This window comes from Homo sapiens, chromosome 10 (genome assembly GCF_000001405.40).
Source record: "Homo sapiens chromosome 10, GRCh38.p14 Primary Assembly".
NCBI lineage: Eukaryota > Metazoa > Chordata > Mammalia > Primates > Hominidae > Homo > Homo sapiens.
The window spans coordinates 9,752,691-9,772,936 of NC_000010.11; the positions used below are offsets into that span (position 1 = coordinate 9,752,691).

A 20,246-nucleotide genomic window follows, 5' to 3' on the forward strand; every position below is an offset into this window, starting at 1 on the left:
AATTTTTAAAAAGATGTATAATGCCAAATATTGGGAAGGATATAAAGCAAGAAGAATTTTAATACATTGTTGAGGGGAATGTAAAATGATACAACCACTTTGAAATTAGTTCTGACAGTTTTTTTTAATCAAAACATAACCTTCACTGTGACCCAGTAATTCCAATCCTAGGGCTTTACCCAGGAATGGTAAAAACCTATGTCCACAAAAGGAGTTTTTAAATAATATTTACATCAGCTTTATTCATAACTCCCAAAATTTGTCAACAGTAGTAGATACTATACAGTATTACAGTCATACAATAGATCTCTACTCAGTCATAAAAATTAACCAACTGTTGATACACCTAGCAACATTAACAAGCTTCAAAGCTATATACTGTATGATTCAATTGATATGAAATTCTAAAACTGGCAAAACAAATCTAAAAATATGAGAACAGTTGCTTTTGGAGGTTGATATCTGAGATAGATTGGGAAGAGGTATGAGGAAACTGAGATTATAATAATGTTCTATTTCTTGATAAAGATTTGTGTATTCAGGTATATGCATTTTTTAAAATGCAGTGACTATACACCTAAGATTTGTGTATTTCATTATACGTAAGTTGCATATTAAAAGAAGAGCTCTAAAATGTCTTCTAGTTAATTATATTCATGCTTCCATATTTAGGGAGATGTAGACAGATGTCTGAAATTTACATTGAAATGACTTAAAAATTCAAGACGGAATGATGGGTGGATAAAATAATGAATTAGTATTTTGATATGTTATAAAATGTGTACAGCAAAATGTTAATGGTAAAACATAGCTGTCATATATATGAGTGTTCATATTAATATACTGTCATGTTTTGTCAGTATTTTTAGAAATTGTATTAATAAAATATTAAAAATAATTTAAAACTGCCTTGTTTGATGACAGTATCTATAAACTACCAAGATGAAATGCTTTTCCGAGTTTTTGGAGGCCATGGCCCAAAATCACACACTGTAATCCTATTGAATGCCTCTCCACAGGTGTATTTAATCTTCGAACTTCTTCACGTGTCAGTTTGTGAGAATAAGTTGGATCCTGGCTTTCCCACCATAATATAATGCCTTCATTCTGATGTAGGACTATGAAAGACACTTTTGTGTTTCACTTTTTCATTTGTGTCATATTGAAAAATATTTTAGTCAACATGATGCAAAAGATAATACAGCAGCTAGAGTCAGACAATAATGAACTCAAATGTGAGTTAAAGTTTATCTTACTATCGAACTAGGAGATCAAGGGTAAGAAAATTTCTTAAATTCTCATTCTCATTCTGTGTGTGTGTGTGTGTGTGTGTGTGTGTGTGTGCATGTGTGTATGTTTAAGATTTAGACTGAATGCAAGAATGCTTTTCTTACAGAATAGTTGTAAAAATTAAATGTGATAAAATATAGTAGCACCTTGTTTAACACCTAGTATATGGCAAGTATTCAACACATTTTATTGCCTTTCCTTCATTATTTCATAATGTAAATAATACTTATTTACATTTTCAGACAATAGGCGTAATTTTCTTATGTGCTATAATACTCATATTTTTTAATATGTCTACTACTATTAATGTTGTGGGCAAACAATTATGTATTTAGAATGGATCCTCACAACATAAGGGTATCCTGTCCCTTATTCAGTCAAAGAATAACAAAGAAATTATACCTTAATGAGACATTTTCATCAACATGGCAATACCAGTACCAAACCCCCATGGAGAATGCTATCATCAAATTCCAGAATAGCTTTGAGGAAACAGAATGTAGAAATGAAATGTGATAGAAACTCTATTAATAGCCTCATCATTACATTATTAATATGATGTATTTATCAGACTAAGGCAGATCTCCAGAGATTACAGCATTGTTTAAGAAAAATAAGAATCTATTATGTACTTAAATGAATCTTTTATTTTTTTCATAGAACTCTAGATTTAGATTACACTGCCTAACCCTTTTAGCCTGGTAACGTGAGTAACATAATTAGGTACAAAGCACTCAGCGTGGAAGTAACGGTGGAGAGGCATAGGAATCTTCTCAACCCTGGGGAGTGTTGTCGTCAGGAGTTAGATGAAGCCTGCCCTTCTTTCTGACTAAGGATAATTAATCTATGCCCATCTCTCTTCGAACATGCACCAGAACCTGCAGATGAATATGCCCTGTCTGGTTTGTCACCTGTATGCATGAGGCCACATTTCTCCAACTCACTTGATTGTGGCTCATCTATGATGGACACTTCTGCACACACTGCCACATTCCCTCGCTTTTCTTTCCCCAGAGCTGAGAAATGCTGCTCAGCCATGTTCAGGCAGAGTGTGGAGGGATGGAAAAAGACGTCACTCATGTGGTGTGTAATGAGACCACGGAACCCCATGGTCATACCCCTCATGTCCCTGCTTCAGGGTGAAGTGGGTCCCCTGGTCTGTTCTATGTTGTGTGGGATCCCATGATTGTGGGTCAATCCTTCCTCACTTCCCTAGAGAGTGAAACTGGCTGAGGCTCTGCTGGCAGGAAATGCAAATCCATAGCTGAATAGATAGAATAGTTATCAGTCACTGTGAGGATGAACCTTACAATAGAGTTGGCTTGCCTCCACATGGCTGGTTGGTTTTCTCAAGGAGCAGTGCTATGTCAAGTGCTCAGCTTTTCTGTCTGCTGCCCAAAACAGGTAGGATGTCCAAGTGCAGCGGTAGTTAGACAGCTCTTGGTAAGTGAGAATCCATGCTGATGGGCCCGTGAATAGCTTTCTTCTCTGCTGTTGTGGCCACTCCTTCAGGTGTCCAGAGTTTCAATTCCAGGGTGGCCAATGATGAGGACTATGTAATGTTAACCAGTCAAGCATTTTCTCTACTTGGTGTTCAGTGCCTCTTTCATGGTGAACCCTCCTGGGTGGACATTAGCATGAGATACATTTCCATACCTTTATCCAAGTCCTTCTTGTTTAATATCCTACTCCCCTTCCCATAGGCCCCCTAATCAGCTGGTGAGGATGCTGGCCAGGGGCAAGGAATCTATGTATAACCTCAAGCCATTTCTTCCAAATAAAGCTGATGACTTATACACTGCTAGAAGCCTTACTCATTGGTAAGTTTTTCCCCCTTTACTATTGTTCAAGATCACCCTAAATGTGGCTTCAGTGCAGCCACTGCTCATGTTTGTGCTTTCACTCAGGTACTGACTTAACCCATGCATCCATAAGCCAAGCTCAAGCTTTCTCCCCTTCTTCAGGGTGGTTGTATGACAGCTCTGCGCATCACTACGTGTAACACTGGGAAGGGGCGCTGGTACAACTGTGGTGGATGCCAAGGTCATCTGTGCTCCCTGCTCATGCATCTTACTCATGTGCTCTAGTCCTCATCAGATTTACTATCCAATGTATGTTCTCCATCTCATAATGGAGATTTGCTGGAGCCAATTAACTTTGTAGCTTTATATGTCCAAGGAATCCAATTCATCATGTACAATTAAGAATGCATACTCATTTGTTGCCTCTTGGTAAAGTGTCTCTATCAGGGCATGGTAACAAACTAACAGCTGTCTCTCAAATGGTGTATAATCGCCCACTATAATTAGTTTAGGTCTTAGTAGTAACTTAGCCTTACTTCAGAACATTGGGGACCACCATTATAATTCCCCTAAAGGGGCTTTCCATAAACTCTACACATCATCTTTCAACACTACTGGCATCTCCAATACACAGTGTCTGCAAGATTATATGGTCCAAAGGGTAGGTCTGGTTCCACTACCACCTGGGTCTGCTGCAGAGCCATTCCCTGCTCCCAGCTCTATAAAGCTGGCTGTCTTTCAGGTTACTGAACGTATGGATGAGAGCCATACTCCTAAGTACAGAATAAGATGCCTTCAGAAGCTAAAGAGGACTACCTCTTAGGTAAGCTTTGTACTTGTTTTTAATGATAGAAAACACAAAATGCTACAGCTTCTCTCTTACTTTGGAGGGTATATATATTCTGACAAGCCCCTGATCACTGGACTGCTAAAAACTTTACTGAAGTGGCAGGTCCCTGAATCTTTACAACATCTATTTTCCACCTGCTATAGACATGTATCTTATCAAGGCCTCAAAGGTAGTAGCCATCTCTTTCTTATTCTGCCTGATTGTTACCTGGTGTAATGCCTACTTGACATAGCTGAATTTCCGCCCTGTCCTAACTCTGCTGATCTTTAAGGAGCAGGGTGCTTGCAATAAAAATTCCCCTTTATAACCAGACAAGCTAGGTCCTGTTTGAATGAAGACAGCCAACCAAAGGACTACAAAAAGACCTCAGGCTTCATTATCATCTCATTTCTATGCTAAATGACACTCCCACCAGTGCCATGACAGTTGACAATTGCCAGAAAAAGCCATTAAAAGGCAAAAAGGAAGGCAGCACTCTGGCTCTTGGAAGTTCACCACACATTTCTGGAGAAAATATGAATATTCCTCCCCTCACTTTTAATGTCCAAACCCTTCGTTAGAGAAACCCTATCTCCCCGCACCCATCGAAAAGCTGATTTGTGAGTCATGCTCTTGCTTCTCAATTCCATTGCCATCAAATAAAACCTGCACTGCTTGACACTCGCTTTTGGTTTAATGTATTGGCTTCATGACACCAAACGGGGAAAGGCCCCATCTTTTGGGGGACCAGCTTTGTCAGTAACATGATCAGCATGACGTCATAGATGTAATGAGTTAATATGTTTTGTGGAATGGCCAGCTGGTCAAGATTTCTTTGTGCAATATTATGACAAGGAAAAGGAGAGCTAACTTAGCCCTATGGAAAACTGTAAATAAACATTGTTGACAATTCCACATGAATGAAAATAGTTTCTTCTCCCCTTTTTAAATAGAAGAGAGAAGAATATATTTACCAAATCAATGCCCTCATGCCATGTTATTGAAGGTCTTATTAATTTGCTCTAGACACACACAGAAACTGTAACGAAAGCTACTGCTCAATTCAGGTTGCAGTAGTCTACTGGCATTCCCTAAGATCCATCCGGTTTCTTCAGGAGCCGTACCAGAGTATTTAAATGGAGAAAAGTTAAGAACCGTCAGCACTGTGTCATTTAGGTTTTTTTTGGTTTTTTTGGTTTGGTTTTGTTTTTTTGTTTTGTTTTGTTTTGTTTTGACCAAATCTTGCTCTGTCGCCCAGATTGGAGCACAGTGGTACAATTTTGGCTTACTGCAACCTCCACCTCCCGGGTTCAAGTGATTCTCGTGCTTCAGCCCCTTGAGGTAGCTGAGATTACAGATACACGCCACCACACCCAGCTTATTTTTTGTATTTTTAGTAGAAACAGGGTTTTGCCATGTTGCCCAGGGTGGTCTCAAACTCCTGGGATCAAGCGATCCACCTGCCTCAGCCTCTCAAACTGCTGGGATTACAGATGTGAGCCACCACGCCTGGCCCATTTAGATCTTTAATGGTGGTAATAATAGTCATGCTCCTGGGATGCAATATTATTAACGACTTACTACCTTGGACTAGGAAGGAGGGTCAGTCCCAGAGGTTTGACATGGCCCTCCCTACTAGGGTAGGACCCAATGTGGGGGTTACTCCAACTGTCTAGTGTATTAGTCCTTGTTATCCACTTGGCCAATGGGGAAATGGCCGATAAATGGGATTGTGAGCCCAGTGGATGTGTAGAGGAGAGAACTTGCCTATGGCTGTCAGTGAGTCCAGCCTGTGACGGCCTCTGCTACCTTCAGCCCTGGCCTGCATAGAACAGCCACTGAAATTTTAGTGATTCTGGTAGCCTTTTTCACCAGCTGGTGAATGGTGTGTCTAATGGTTTTAGTGAATAGCGTGTCATAATACTTAACCTCTGGCAGATCTTCTGTCCTCACCTAATGTGTCCATTCCAGAGTACCCACTTTCCTCATCCTCTTTCTACCTTTCTCTACCTTTCTTCATGACAATTTAGGAAATGACAATTCCTCAAGAAAGGGCTTTTACATTTTCTCCAGGTTTCTAAGGGTCACCCTGCAGGGAGTTTGCCCCATATGCTGCAATCCTTGCCAAGGTATTAAACTGTGTTCTGAGAAAGTGAATCCAAGTCCATAAATTTTTGCTTAGCCAGTTTTTATTCCAGTCCCCATTATCAAGCACCCACCAAAGTTCCCCAGGTCCTGCCAATAGGTACTAGCGAGTCCCCGCACCATCTCCTTCAGCATGTAGTCGCTTTCTTCCTTCATCATGCCCGGCACATCTTTAGTGACTTTATGCTGGAAGGTAGCCCAAGCTGCGGACCTGGAAGCCAGAACAGTGGTGGATTGTATTAGCACTAGGGCTGCCATAACAAAATACTGAAGATTGGGTGGCTTACCAAAAAAAAAAAAAAAAAAAAAATCATTTTCTCACAGTTCTGGAGGCTGGAAGTCCAAGATCAAGGTGTTGGCCGGTTTGTTCCTCCTGATACTTCTCTCCTTGGTGGGCGGATGGCCGTCCTCGTTCTTAGCATCCTTGCAGGGCCTTTCCTCTTTGCATGTGCATTGCTGGTGTTGCTCTCTCTTCTCACAAGGCCACTAGTCCTGTTGGATTAGGGACCCCCCCATTATGACCCCATCCTATCTCCTATTACAGTCACACTGGGGGGTAGGGCTTCAACACTGAATTCTAGGGAGAAACAATTCAGTCTATAACAGGTCTAGGGAGGGCCAATGGCCTTCTGAGGAAGACATTTGCTTTATCAATCCACAGGTTGAAGTGCTAGCTCCTATTAAGAAGACGTGGGCCACATCTGCAGAATCAAAATCCCCAGGAACATCCATTTAGATGGGCCTGTTTCATTTTCGGGGCTTCATATTTTTCGAGTCAGTGCCTGACTTTAGCATAACAGATCTGCCTTACCTAATGACTCAGGAGGGCTACTGCTCCTCCTCTTTAATACCCTGTCTGCTTCCACATAAGGACCTATGGGCCTCATTCTAAACTTAACAAGCCCATTTGACTTTCACATTAGCCTCCATTTGGTAAAAGCTTTTCAGTTTCTCTTTATTCCTCTGCAGGGCCAATATTATTTGGGTGTAAACTCACAGTTTTGCTCTTCTTATGAACATGACTTTCCCCCATACCTTTCAAGTGCCTGCATCATTCAGCCTGAGTCATTTCACCTACAAGGGCACTTCCCTGTTTTCTCAGGTTACTCTTCATGAAATCTTTTTTTTTCTTTTTTTTGAGATGGAGTCTTGCTCTGTCGTCCAGGCTGGAGTGCAGTGGCACGATCTCGGCCCACTGCAACCTCTGCCTCCCAGGTTCAAGCAATTATCCTGCCTCAGTCTCCGCACTGGCTGGGATTACAGGCACACACCACCACGCCCGGCTAAGTTTTTTATTTTCGGTAGACGAAGTTTCACTATATTGGCCAGGCTGATCTCGAACTCCTGACCTTGTGATCTGCCCTCCTCAGCCTCCCAAAGTGCTGGGATTACTGGCTTGAGCCACTGCATTTGGCCATGAAATCTTTAGCAACCACACTCCCATCTTATTTAAGAAACTATCTGTGGCAATTAGAATATTTAAAATGATGTTATCCTTGATACCTTAGCAGCAAGTGAACAAATTCCCAAGGACCATCTCAATGTCTGCCTTGTTTAGACTATTCTTTAGATCACCTCTGTTAATTCACGTCCTTCAAGAAGTATACACCAAGAAGAACATCTGTTATAGTACATTTGTCCAATATTAGTACATTTTCACTGTTATAAAAGAATACCTGAGGTTGGGTAATTTATAAAGAAAAGAGGTTTATTGGGACTACGGTTCTGCAAGCTGTACAATCAAGGCATCAGCATCTGCTTAGCTTCTGATGAGGGCCTCAGCAAACTTCAAATCATGATGTAAGATGAAGGGGGACCCAGCATTTCACATAGGTATAGTGGGAGCAAGGGGCAGAGGGATGCCACACTCTTTTAAACAATCATATCTTGCATGAACTCACAGCAACAACTCACTCGTTACCACGAGGAGGGCACCAAGCCATTTATGAAAAATCCACCCCCATAAGCCAAACACTTTCCACTAGGCCCCATCTCCAATACTGGGGATCACATTTCAACATGAGGTCTGGAGAGGAAACACATCCAAACCATTAGATGTACAGAGGATTTAATGGGAGAAACTCACTTGAAGGCAAAGGGGACAGGGCCTGAGTCAGCAGGAAGGTCCTCCAGCATGTAATGCTGTGGAAGACTGAGCAGGAAGAGCCTCACACTGCAGCAGAGCTCGAGACAAGTTGGGGTCAGGGTGATTAGGGATCCCCAAGCCAAAGGATGCTCTCTTAAGGCATCCTGTATCCCGTAGAAATGGGCCAGCACCAGGACATACACCACGATTAGCCCTCATCCCTGAGAAGCCTACACAGGGAAAACATGTTTTTCTAAATGGTGGTGGATCTCTAGGTCTGTCAGTGACGTGGGCACCCCAGCTCGGTCTCTTGAAAGAGATTAGAACCATGCATTTTCACGGCTACCATGATATCGCTTACAGATGATTCATGATACAAGAAATTTAAAAAAGCAAAGATTTAAACAAATTGGAACAAAGGGAAATTGGGGTGAGCATCATAAGATGAAACTGAACATAAGATTAGTAGGCAAATATATGTCATAAAATCCTGTGGATCAAAAACATTGCTTTGAGACTTGAATATTTGATAAAAAGAAGAAAATATCATTTATAAATAATTAGTTTGGCCAACAAAAAATAAATGTTAGTGGTTCAAAGGAATTAATCTATTCCTAAAACTGAGGGATGAGATATTATCCAAAATGAACAACATGTGCTATAACCATATTTTCAAAAGAGCTGGCTATGGAGTGACAAGTTACACTTGCCAGATACCAGGAAGTCACACTTCTGTTAAGTAGTAGCATACAGGTAGCATAGTTTTTATAGTATGATTTCACCAAATGTTAGGACTTAAAGTATCTAAAGAAATGGATTATCCTACAAATTGTCTTCCATGAACATTATTGAGAAATACTGTGCAGCTTTTTGTGTTTTTTTGTTTGTTTGTTTTGTGTTGTTTTGTTTTTTTGGTTTTTTTTTTTTTTTTTTTTTTTTGAGAAGGAGTCTCGCTCTGCCGCCCAGGCTGGAGTGCGGTAGCACAATCTCTGCTCACTGCAACTTCTGCCTCCTGAGTTCAAGTGATTCTCCTCTTGTAGTTTTCATTACAGCTGAAGTACAGTAGTCCACGCTGTCAATTAACAGAATATATGCCTGACTTTACCAACAGCAAAGTAAAGGTCAAAAACATGCCTGAGATACTCCTCCAACCTTGGAGGAGTTGTTGAATTAGTTTGGGCAAGCAGAACCAAAACTCGTTCAGAAAGGAATGCAAAGTTCACACCAACAAACTGACCAACGGGCAACTGAGGCCTCCATGTTTTCTCCCCTTGGGGCAAGATTGCAATGATTTTAACTTTAACTGTGTTCAAGTGCTACTAAATTCGTACTCGAATGAAGTGCCTAGAGAACATGTAACTTCCCATAATGCACTGTCCAGGTTTAATCCTTTAAAATAAACAGGTCATAAAAAGAACGCCCAGGTAATTGAATGGATTGATTCGTTCTGTGGAGTTAACTCTACGATGAAGGACACTCACCAAAAAATTATTTTGACCTTGGAATACTTCTTTTTAAATAATTATTTCTAACAGTAATTATATAGAAGTGCCAGTGATCTCTTCAAGCTACCCCTAAATTCTGATAATAAAACCATATCATCTAACTGCTGTACAAGTGAGTGCTTGGATTGATTCTGTTTTCTAAGGGGACAGAGAAGGATACTTAGCTCGTTTAAAAGTGGTTTCAAATCATTAAGTAAGTGTATAAAAACAAGTTAGTGGAGAAACACATCTCTCTTTATTCCAAATGAAGATTATTATCCAGTACCCTAGAAAATAATTCCTTCTGACCTTGATTCTCGTGGTATCACTGAGGCACTATTTATTTAGCACTGAAAGCCAGAAGTTAAACTCACAATGAATTTTTCAACCAAAACCATGATAAAATTATGAACAGAGACCTGCCATTGACTGTATGCCTACTGTGTAGCAGGAACTGTGTTGGCCACACATGGCATCTCTTTCTCAACAATACCATGAGATAATTAATCTGGCACCTATTGTATAAAAGAGAAACTGGAAGTATAAGTAATGTCTTTCCCTGCTCTTGTTCCCAATGTGATACCGCAGGAAAGTGAAAGACCCAGGGGTCCAATTATATCTGGGTCAAAACTCCTGTTCTTTATTTTTAATCCACTCCTATTGCTTCCATTCCAAGCCTTCATAAATATGAGGGCATTTTTGGGCAAATACATCATTTTGCTTAACCGCATGACTAAATGTTCCTAACTATGTGTCATTGTCTCTGCCGACCTCAAAATATGTTATGGCATTTCTTAATTCCCCATAGATTGCCCCATTTTGCAATAATTTCATTATCATGATGACATCAGCTTTTGCCCTTCTTTCTAAAGTTACTACAGTCTTTTCGGGCCAGAAGAATGCCAAGCCATCAAATAGAATATTTTTATCTCAAGACATTATATAGGTCATATTGATAAGGATGTCCATCTCAATCAATATCAGCTGTGGCCTGCTGCTTTCCAAAATAAGCCAACTTCTGTGAAATCTCTCTTACTCACCACTCTCTGTCGAACTGCCAGTAGCAGATGTTTTCATCACTCTAAGTTAAACTACATTTTTTTCTTCCTGTAAAATAGTTTAAATGACTCTGATATTCAAACAATGCGAAAGCATTTCTCATCAGTCATACTCATGGTATATAACTAGAATCTCCGGACCCTCTACCTTGACATACTGTTTTTCTTGCAACAGACATGATTCAAGAGGTTAAAATGTGCACAGTGAGAGACAGACTACGCCTTACCAGCCAGTATTGTTTGTGTGACATCTGCAAGTTTTTCTCATTCTATTTGGAGCTCAGAAGAATCTGGAAAGATCACTATGTCTGCATGGTCTTTACACTTGCCTAATAGTAGCAACTTGTTATGCTAGTGAACTTATTAAATGTATATTTTTATTGATAATTTATTTTATGATTTTTTTCATGATTCATAACATTTGTGCCTATTAATATAATATTTGGGTTTATCATATGCATATGCACTCATTAATCTGTTTGATTTCCTGTGTTATGTGTTTGATGATGTCTAAGCCTGTGGGATTTGCTCTTCCCCACAAAGAGAAAGGTATAACTTCAGGATTCCATTCTTTATTTTGGTTTATTCCCTAACCGCTAATAGTCAAGTGCAAGTACTTGAAAGTTGCAACTTTCAAACTGCTTTGAACATTAGTGGGCTTCCAATACATATGGAATATGCATAGTGAAAAATATTCCAAATAGTAATTATATGAATGCCTCACGTGTAGGCATTTTATATGTTATATATAAGCAAACATTCATTTCTTACAGCAATGATAAATTATGTAAATATATGAATGTATGTAAGTTATATAAGATATAAATACCATGCTACCTCTAAAAATGAAGAAAATTAAGCTCAGATAAATTAAATAACTTGCCTAGAGACACAAATCCAATATATTTCAAATCCAGGAATACAGCCCAAGACTGTTTTACTCTAAAGCTTCAAGATAAATTGGAGGACAATAATAGTCTTCAAAATAATGTCTGCACAGAGGGTTACAGCAAGGATTAAAATAGAAAAGGCATATAAAACTTTATTCAAAATAAAATAATAGTATTCATTTTATATGAATATTTATGACTGTCACTATAAGCTTCTTAATAATTTTGCAATTGTAGAGATAAGATATGTAGAAAATAATTATTTTATAACATAAAACATATTAGCTTTACAAAACACAATGTGTCACCTGAGTTGAAAGAAGGAAGGGAACATATATGATTGGGGAAAATTATGCGTGAAGTAACCTTGGAGGTGGGTTTTGAGTAGATAAAATTTCAAAAGGCATGGATACAGAGCATATACAGACTTTCCAGAAAGTAAGGGAAATCAATTAATTATGTTTCCCATTGGCTAATTTCAATAATTTATAGGATATTTCAATTCCCCTTTGCCCTCTAGCATGTTTCATCTAAATAAGTGCTCTTTAACACTGCTGCTTATTAAAAATCTTAACAAAGAAAAGAATTCCAATTTATTATGTATGTAGAAAAGACAGAAATGACAACAACCCCCAAGGCAACATTTCCAACGCTGGAGAAAAATATAGAGAACATATGCTTTCTCTCCAGGATGGGTGTGATCTAACATCTAAAACACTTTTAACAAGTTTTTGGATCACAGCTAGCTTCACGTACCCCTTGTTTTCCCATCTGAGCATGTGTAGGGAAGGGGCTAAAGAATTAGGTTACATCTCAGATTTTCATCATAGTGTGATAGATTTACAGCAATCACAAAGCCCCAGTTTAGGGTCAGGGCTCTGACTTTTTATTGTGCTCTAGGTACACGTCTCCTTTGGTCAGTAGGAAATGAATCAGTCTCTCACTGTTCCTCTCTTCCCATAGATCAGAAGTGTGGGGTTAACGTTAATTGGATTAATTTCCCTGAAGACTTAGAATCGACTACCCTACCTTACCTGAAGTGCCATATTTAACAGAGCTGATCATATTTCAAGATGGAATACTCTATTGAGAAATGCAGTCCATGTGAGAGTTGTAAGTTGCAAGTAAGAGAAATGGAGAACATGGGAAAGGCAATGGGAAGACATGAAAAGTTTTTGAGCCAGGGGAATTCCTAATTAAAACGTTGCAATAGGAAGATTAACCTGGCACCACAGTTTAATTATCCTTGTAACACAGAGGATCAGGAGGTGGTGGGTTGCACAGCAGTATGAATACCCCTGGGAAAGACTGCCAACAGGATTTAGGCTAGTCACAGTGGGGCAGGAAGAAGCACATGATGCTACGCACCTAGCTTTCCCTTTCCTTTCCCTTCCCCTTTTATGGAGTAAGACCTCCCCAGGCTATGCCCAGTATTTCACTTACTCCCTGAGCAGCAAATCTATCCACCTACTATTTTTGGTCTGCAACTCACTCCCCTGCAAACTCTTAACATTAGCTTGGTATGACCATTTGTGTTTTTCATTTCTGTACCAAGCTATAGACATGTAGATCACTATCATGACAAATGTACACTCTTTACCTTCAACTGGACCCACTTATAGAGAACTTATGTTCAGTGTTATGAGCTCCCTTTCTCAAACTCCACACTGACGGTTTCTTCTGCAACCATTCTCTCCTATACCATTTTTCCATTATCTCCCACATTACCATTAGCCAATGACCCTAGATTTACTTAATAGAGGAAGTAGCTACCATCTGTCAAAGCTTCATTCATTTTTGTATCCTGACTACAAATGAATTCTTACCACAGTGGTCTCTTTCTTCTTGTAACTAAAAAATAAAACAATTCTCTTTCCTCCTTCCAAGCAAATATTTCGAATAGGACTAGCCTTTGGCTAAGGATTTGAGTAAAGTTCTTTCATGTGGTCCAAAATGTACAGGCAAAACTTTTTATTAAGAGAAATATGGCTCAGTACAGGGAGTCATTCTTCTGCTGGGCACCCAAGTGGCCCAATTATAAAAGCTGCAGGGGCAGAGAGGAAATGAGAAAAGAACAAACACTTTGATGCAAAATACTGTACTCCATTGGAAAGCAGTTGCCTTGTAAAATATTAAAACATTGAGGAGTTAGAAAAAGCTGTCTCTTCTAATGAGTTTGGGCATTATTATCACTGAGAAACTTTATCCACAATGAAGAAAACTCTGTGGCATGTGTGTGTGCGTGTGTGTGTGTTTGTGTGTGTGTGTGATTCACAGGTCCCAACAATCAGAAAGGAAGAGAGAAATTTCTATAACATACGCCATGAGAAGGGACCATATCAAGCTCACACCCACACACAATTGATATTGAGATGCACAGTATCCACATACCACCTTCCCTTCACATCTGTTTTTCCATAAATGGTTCTTCCAGATTTGGAGTGTCAAAAGTAACAACTCCTATACTCACCGCATGAATGACGCACATGTAAGGTCACTTAGCTTGAATACCAGAGACACAGAGAAGGGTCTTTCTTGAGGATGATATTAATCCCTATGATGATGGGGAGAAGTTTGTTAAAAGGTGACTCTATGGATGGTGTCCCACCTGGTAATGATGAGTGAACAAGTATTTCTGAGAGGAGAGATGCAGATGGAGGATGTGTTAGGGACTAGGGTATGCCCACCAGAGGGCTCTCTGTAAAGACACTGAATTTCCAATGCATGGCTTCTGAAGACAGGAAAAGTCATGCTAATGATAGTTTTAAGAATCTGTTTTCCTTTTCCCATACTGTAATTTATCCAACAAATGTTGTATTTTCATACAGCCTTTTGTGGTGCAGATGTGAAGAATCAGTGCAAAGGCTGCTTGTCTCACATTTGCCTCTTGGTTCGCTTCTTGGCAGGGGCTCCATCCTATCAAGTTGGGAATTTCAGGCCACGAACAGCAGTAAGGTGAGCAATGTGACCTGATGGAGGTGGGAATACTTGGGGGGAGATGGAAGGGGCTACAGTAGTGAAAGTTTAGAAGAAATAATAAGTTCCAAATGTTTACTATTCCCTAGCAGAAGGTAAGCCAGGGGCATGGAGTGGGACTCTATGTCTGCACTCAAGCTTTTATTCCTCACATAAGGGACACGTTTCCCCACAGTCCAGGCCACGTCACCTCTTGCCAGTGTCCTCATTGTACTTTATTACTTCATAAAAACCACCATATATTGAGCGGCCAAGGCAGTGGATCACGAGGTCAGGAGTTCGAGACCAGCCTGGCGAACATGACAAAACCCTGTCTCTACTAAAAATACAAAAATTGGCCAGGCCCACGTGGTGGCAGGGGCCTGTAATCCCAGCTACCTGGGAGGCTGAGGTAGGAGAATCGCTTGACCCAGGAGGCAGAGGTTGCAGTGAGCCGAGATTGCGCCACTGCACTCCAGCCTGGGCAACAGAGCAAGACTGTGTCAAAAAAAAAAACAAAAAACAAACAACAACAACAACAAAAAAAAAACATATATTTTCCTTTCATTTCTTTTTATTTTACATGTGAACAATTGCACTTCTATTCAATTAAAAATTATTAAAAAACAATAAGTTTTAAAAAGGAGCTGTAGTTTCTTTTCTGCTCTCACAATTTCTATAAGAATTGCCTGTACCAGTCAGTCTCCAAAAAGAAAGGGAAAGAATGGGGAGAATCACAATCAACTGAGCAGGTATTTTTTTTCTTTTCAAATATACCCCCATATTGAGGGGCCATAAAAGATAGAGTGTGTGTGTGTGTGTGTGTGTGTGCAAATGTAGGTGTCTTTGCACATATAGGTGTGCATTCAAGTAAATTGTATCAGGTCAGGGATTTGATCCAGGTTGAAAAGATCAGTCATTTCTACCAGCACTTCAAATCCATTTATTCTCCAGCCCATCACAGTCAAATCTTTTTTTTTTTTTTGAGACGGAGTCTCGCTCCGTCGCCCAGGCTGGATGGAGTGCAGTGGCGCCATCTAGGCTCACTGCAAGCTCTGCCTCCTGGGTTCACACCATTCTCCTGCCTCAGCCTCCCAAGTAGCTGGAACTACAGGCGCCCGCCACCATGCCCGGCTAATTTTTTTGTATTTTTAGTAGAGACGGGGTTTCACCATATTAGCCAGGATGGTCTCGATCTCCTGACTTCGTGATCCACCCACCTCGGCTTCCCAAAGTGCTGGGATTACAGGCTTGAGCCACCACGCCCGGCCCAAACTTTTAATTTTTGTCTTAAATTACCCTTGCTAAGATCAACCACAACCTTTGATAACCACAATAACTGGTCTCTTCTCAATCTTTATTTTGGTTGAGGCTCCTATGTTGACCATCTCTCCCTTTGACTTCTCATGGATGGGGTACATGACAATCACAGCAGTGTCATTATTTGGATGACAGGATTTGAAGTCAGCCAGGCCTGGGTTGAAAGCTCGGCTCACTTCTTCACAATGTAATATTGAGCACATAGCATGAACTTTAGGACTCCATTGATAAATTTATTTGATAAAACCAATTTTATATGGGGTATCATAAAGGTTAAATAAGAAAACACACACATATCATCATCACACACACATACATATAAAGTAGGTTATACTTCGCTATAATTAGTAAGATTCCTAAATCTCAATGGCTCTACACAACCACGTTAATTTTCTATCTGTGCTACTTGTCTAATGCCCATCAGATGAGGAACTTTGCTCTGCATGGTCATTCAAAACCCATGGTGACGTTGTCCTTCCATCTTGTGGCTATACCCCTTGGGACACTTGGCTTTCTCAAAGGCAGGAGCAAGGAAAGACAGGGTAGAATAGCAAATGGTCTGTTAACTACTTCAGCCCTAAAGTGACACATATTACTTCTGAATGTGCAGCAGTAGTATTCAGTCACACTGTCCCACTTAATTGTTAGGAGGCTAAGAAATTCTATGAAGCAGGTAGAATATTTGGTGAACAGCACTGTTTTTGCCTCAGGGTCCCCTTGTGATCATCAATTTTGGCTCCTCTCCCTTTTAAGTAAAACACATTGGAGATCCTCAACTTCTCCCAGGGATGACAAGCCAAAGTCATATGTACATGCTGAAAGGAAAGTTTGGGATCTCTGGGGTAAAATCTAAAGTCTAAGTTTCACTTATTTTGCTGAGGATCACTAAATTTTTAAACAAAAGAAAAATAAAAGGAATATCTGCACTCTCCACCATATACAGATAATGGTGGAACAGGGGTAATACTCCAGTGTAAAAAGAAGAGATGCACAGAAGTCACTGAATTGTAGCAAATTCTGAAAGAATGCCGGGTAGATATTTTGAAGCTATCTTAAAGGAAATGGGGCATGTTCCTTGATTAGGCTCCAATTCTGGTTTCTGAAGGGACTTTCATTTTCCATTATTCTTCATGGCTCTTGCAGCATTCATAGGGTGAGTATTTTTTGGCCTCTGTCTCCTTGATAACAATTGAGATATTCACGGGGGATTTCCTTCCCTCTGGACTGTGCCTAATTACAATATGAGAAAGACTGGCAGCCCAAATATACTTTTAAACTTGAGTATTGCATTTTGGTGTATACTTTGTTCTATTTGTTCTATGTGTATAGATCCTCAAATACACACACACACACACACACACACACATATATAAATATACTATATAAACTAATAAATGATATATACATGATAATATCTGAGATATATATATATATATATATACACATGTAAATATAACAGTACAACTCTCTCAAAAACATAATAACAACTTCATTTTCTCACCAAGGTGGAGTAAAAGGAATTGAATTTACATCTTCACCTGAAACAATTAAAAACTCAGACATGGCCGGGTGCGGTGGCTCACGACTGTAATCCCAGCACTTTTGGAGGCTGAGACGGGTGGATCACGAGGTCAAGAGATCAATACCATCCTGGCCTACACGGTGAAACCCCATCTCTACTAAAAATACAAAAATTAGCTGGACGTGGTGGTGCACACCTGTAGTCCTAGCTACCCAGGAGGCTGAGGCAGAAGAATCCCTTGAATCCGGGAGGCGGAGGCTGCAGTGAGCCGAGATCACACCACTGCACTCCAGCCTGGCAACAGAGTGAGACTCTGTCCCAAAAAAAAGAAAAAACTCAGACACTTTTTAATACTTTGGCCATCAGGCAATGAAGATAGTAATTCCTGAGATAATGGAAATGAGTGATTTAAGCCCTACGCTTCCCCTTATTTACACATAGAGACAGGTTCTTGGCCTCAGCTCTGGAAGAGGAAACCCAGTCAGATATGACGCCCTCTCAGAGTGGAGCAGACAAAGATGGGAGTCCAGGGATTTCAGGGTAGCACAAGATTGAAGGGCAGGATTCTGTGGAGAGAATTCTGGATAGTCACAGAGGTAAACCTCACGTCTTCAGCTGTGTACTGAAACCTTGAGTTCAGGAAAAGATGCAATTGAAATGATTTAAGGAATAATCACAGTGCTCATAGAGGGCCAGAACTAGTTTCTGTTCCCACCAGCTGAGATAGAAAGCCTCATAATTAATGGGGCATAGGTGGAGTACTCAGCAAGTCAGGAAAATTTTCCAGATAACCACAGTTCAGGACAAATCTTAAGAATATTTACAGAAATACAAAAATATCCAATACTCAATAAGAAAAGTCTTTATCTGTCATCAAATTCAAAATGTTCAGGCAAGCAAAAATACAATTATAATGACGATAAAAATCAATAAATCAAAATTTAACACTGAAATAAAGTATTGTTAAAGGATTGTTATAAATGTATTTCTATGTTAAAGATGTTAGAGAAAAGATTGGGATATAAAAAAATAAAGTTTCTAAAGATGTGAAAACTGTAATGCCTAATATGAAAAATATACTGGATGAGATTAAAGACAAATTAGACATCACAGGGAAAAAAAATACTGAATTTAAAGTGAGAGTGATAAAAACTATTAAAATGAAACACAGCAAAAAATAAAAGAAAATGAACAGAGCATCTCAGAGCTGTGCAGAAATTTCAAGCACCATAATATATATGTAATTTGAATCTCAAAACAAAAAGATAGATGGGGATATAGAAAACTACTTGATAAGCCAAAGATCCAAAGTTTGGCAAATCCCAAAAACAAGAAATATTAAGAAAATTACATCAAGGCACTTCCAAATCAAGTTTCTTAAAAATGGAAATAAAGAAGAAAAAAAGCATCTATGAAAGAAAAATTAAGAGTATATTTAAAGCAAAAGATTTTCCATTGGAAACAATGTATGACAGAGGAGAGTGAAGCAAAATCTTTAAGTTGTTAAATGAAATTATTGTGAACCTAGAACTGTAGTATACACCAAATGGAACATCTTTCAAAGAAGGATGAAATAAAGATGTTTTCAGACATGCGTAAGCTAAAAGTTTTAATATTATCCTGCCTGCACTACAAGAAATGTTAACAGACATACAGCTAAACAAAATTAGGAAAACAATACATTAACAAAATTAGAAGTTCAACAAAGAGGTAAAAACAGTTAAAAAAAAAAAGGGACTGGAGAATACATAACTAATATAAAAAATTACTAGAGGGATTCACAAGCAGATTTAATCAAGAAGAGAGAATTGAGAGACTAGAAGGCAGATCATGAGAAATAATCCAGTCAACAAAAAAGAAAAAAGAAAAAGAAAAGGGTGAAGAAAATCTAAGAGTCTTATAGGATGCAATCAAGGTAACCAATATGTGCACTATAAAGTTCCCAAAAGGAGAACAGAGAGAGAAAAGAACAGATAGCCCATTTAAAAAAATAACAGCCCCAAACTTCCCAAATCTAGAGAGGACAACTGACATGTAATTTCATGAAGCATGAATGTCTCCAAATAGTTAAGTGTAAAGATATCTGCATAGGGGCATAGTATAGTCAAATTGTCAAAAGTCAAAAACAAAGAGGAAAGTTGGAAAGTGGAAAAAAATAAAAGCAACTCCTCACATGAGCCCTGCATAAGACTGTCAGTGGATTTCTCAGAAGAAACCCTGCAGGCCAAGAAAGACTGGGATGAACACTCTTCCCCAGACAAACAATAATTAAAGAAGTTCATCACCACTAGACCTATGTTAAAGGAAAAGCTAAAGGGAGTTTTTCAACTTGAAATAAAAGGACACTAATTAGCAACATGAAAACCTATGAAATGATAAAACTCACTGGCAAAAGCTAAGTATTATATATGACTAAATACAGAATACTTTGTTTATTAATTTATTTTATTTTATCTTTGTAGACACAGGGTCTCACTCTGTTGCCCAGGCTAGAGTGTAGTGATGTGACCATAGCTCACTGCAGCCTTGAACGTCTGGGCTCAAGCAACCCTGCTGCTTCAGCCTCCTCAGTAGCTGGAACTATAGGCTGCAACATCATCATCATGTTCGGCTATTTTTTTATTTTCACTTTTGTAGGATAGAGTCTCTGTATGTTGCCCAAGCTGGTCTCCAACTTCTGGTCTCAAGCAATCTTTCCACCTTGGCCTCTCAAAGTGCTGGGATTGCTGGTGTGAGACACAGTGTTCAATCTCAAAACCAGAATAGTTTAATATTGTAGTAATGGTGCATAAAATATTTTCAATTCTAGTATAAAATTTAAAAGACAAACATTTTAAAAACTAAAATGGTTTATAAATGGACACA

General features: G+C 39.2%; 2 long non-coding RNA genes across 6 annotated transcripts in view; both read right to left on the reverse strand.

The window, feature by feature from the left end:
- LINC02663 (long intergenic non-protein coding RNA 2663) overlaps positions 1-20,246 on the reverse strand; it is a 434,814-nt gene that overhangs the window by 309,410 nt on the left and 105,158 nt on the right. The gene's annotated exons all lie outside the window — the stretch shown is intronic.
- Positions 6,093-6,540, reverse strand: LOC124902542 (uncharacterized). The gene is made up of 2 exons (XR_007062366.1): positions 6,389-6,540; positions 6,093-6,277 (listed from the first exon to the last, which is right to left on the reverse strand). It is a non-coding gene; the product is annotated as an uncharacterized LOC124902542 (long non-coding RNA).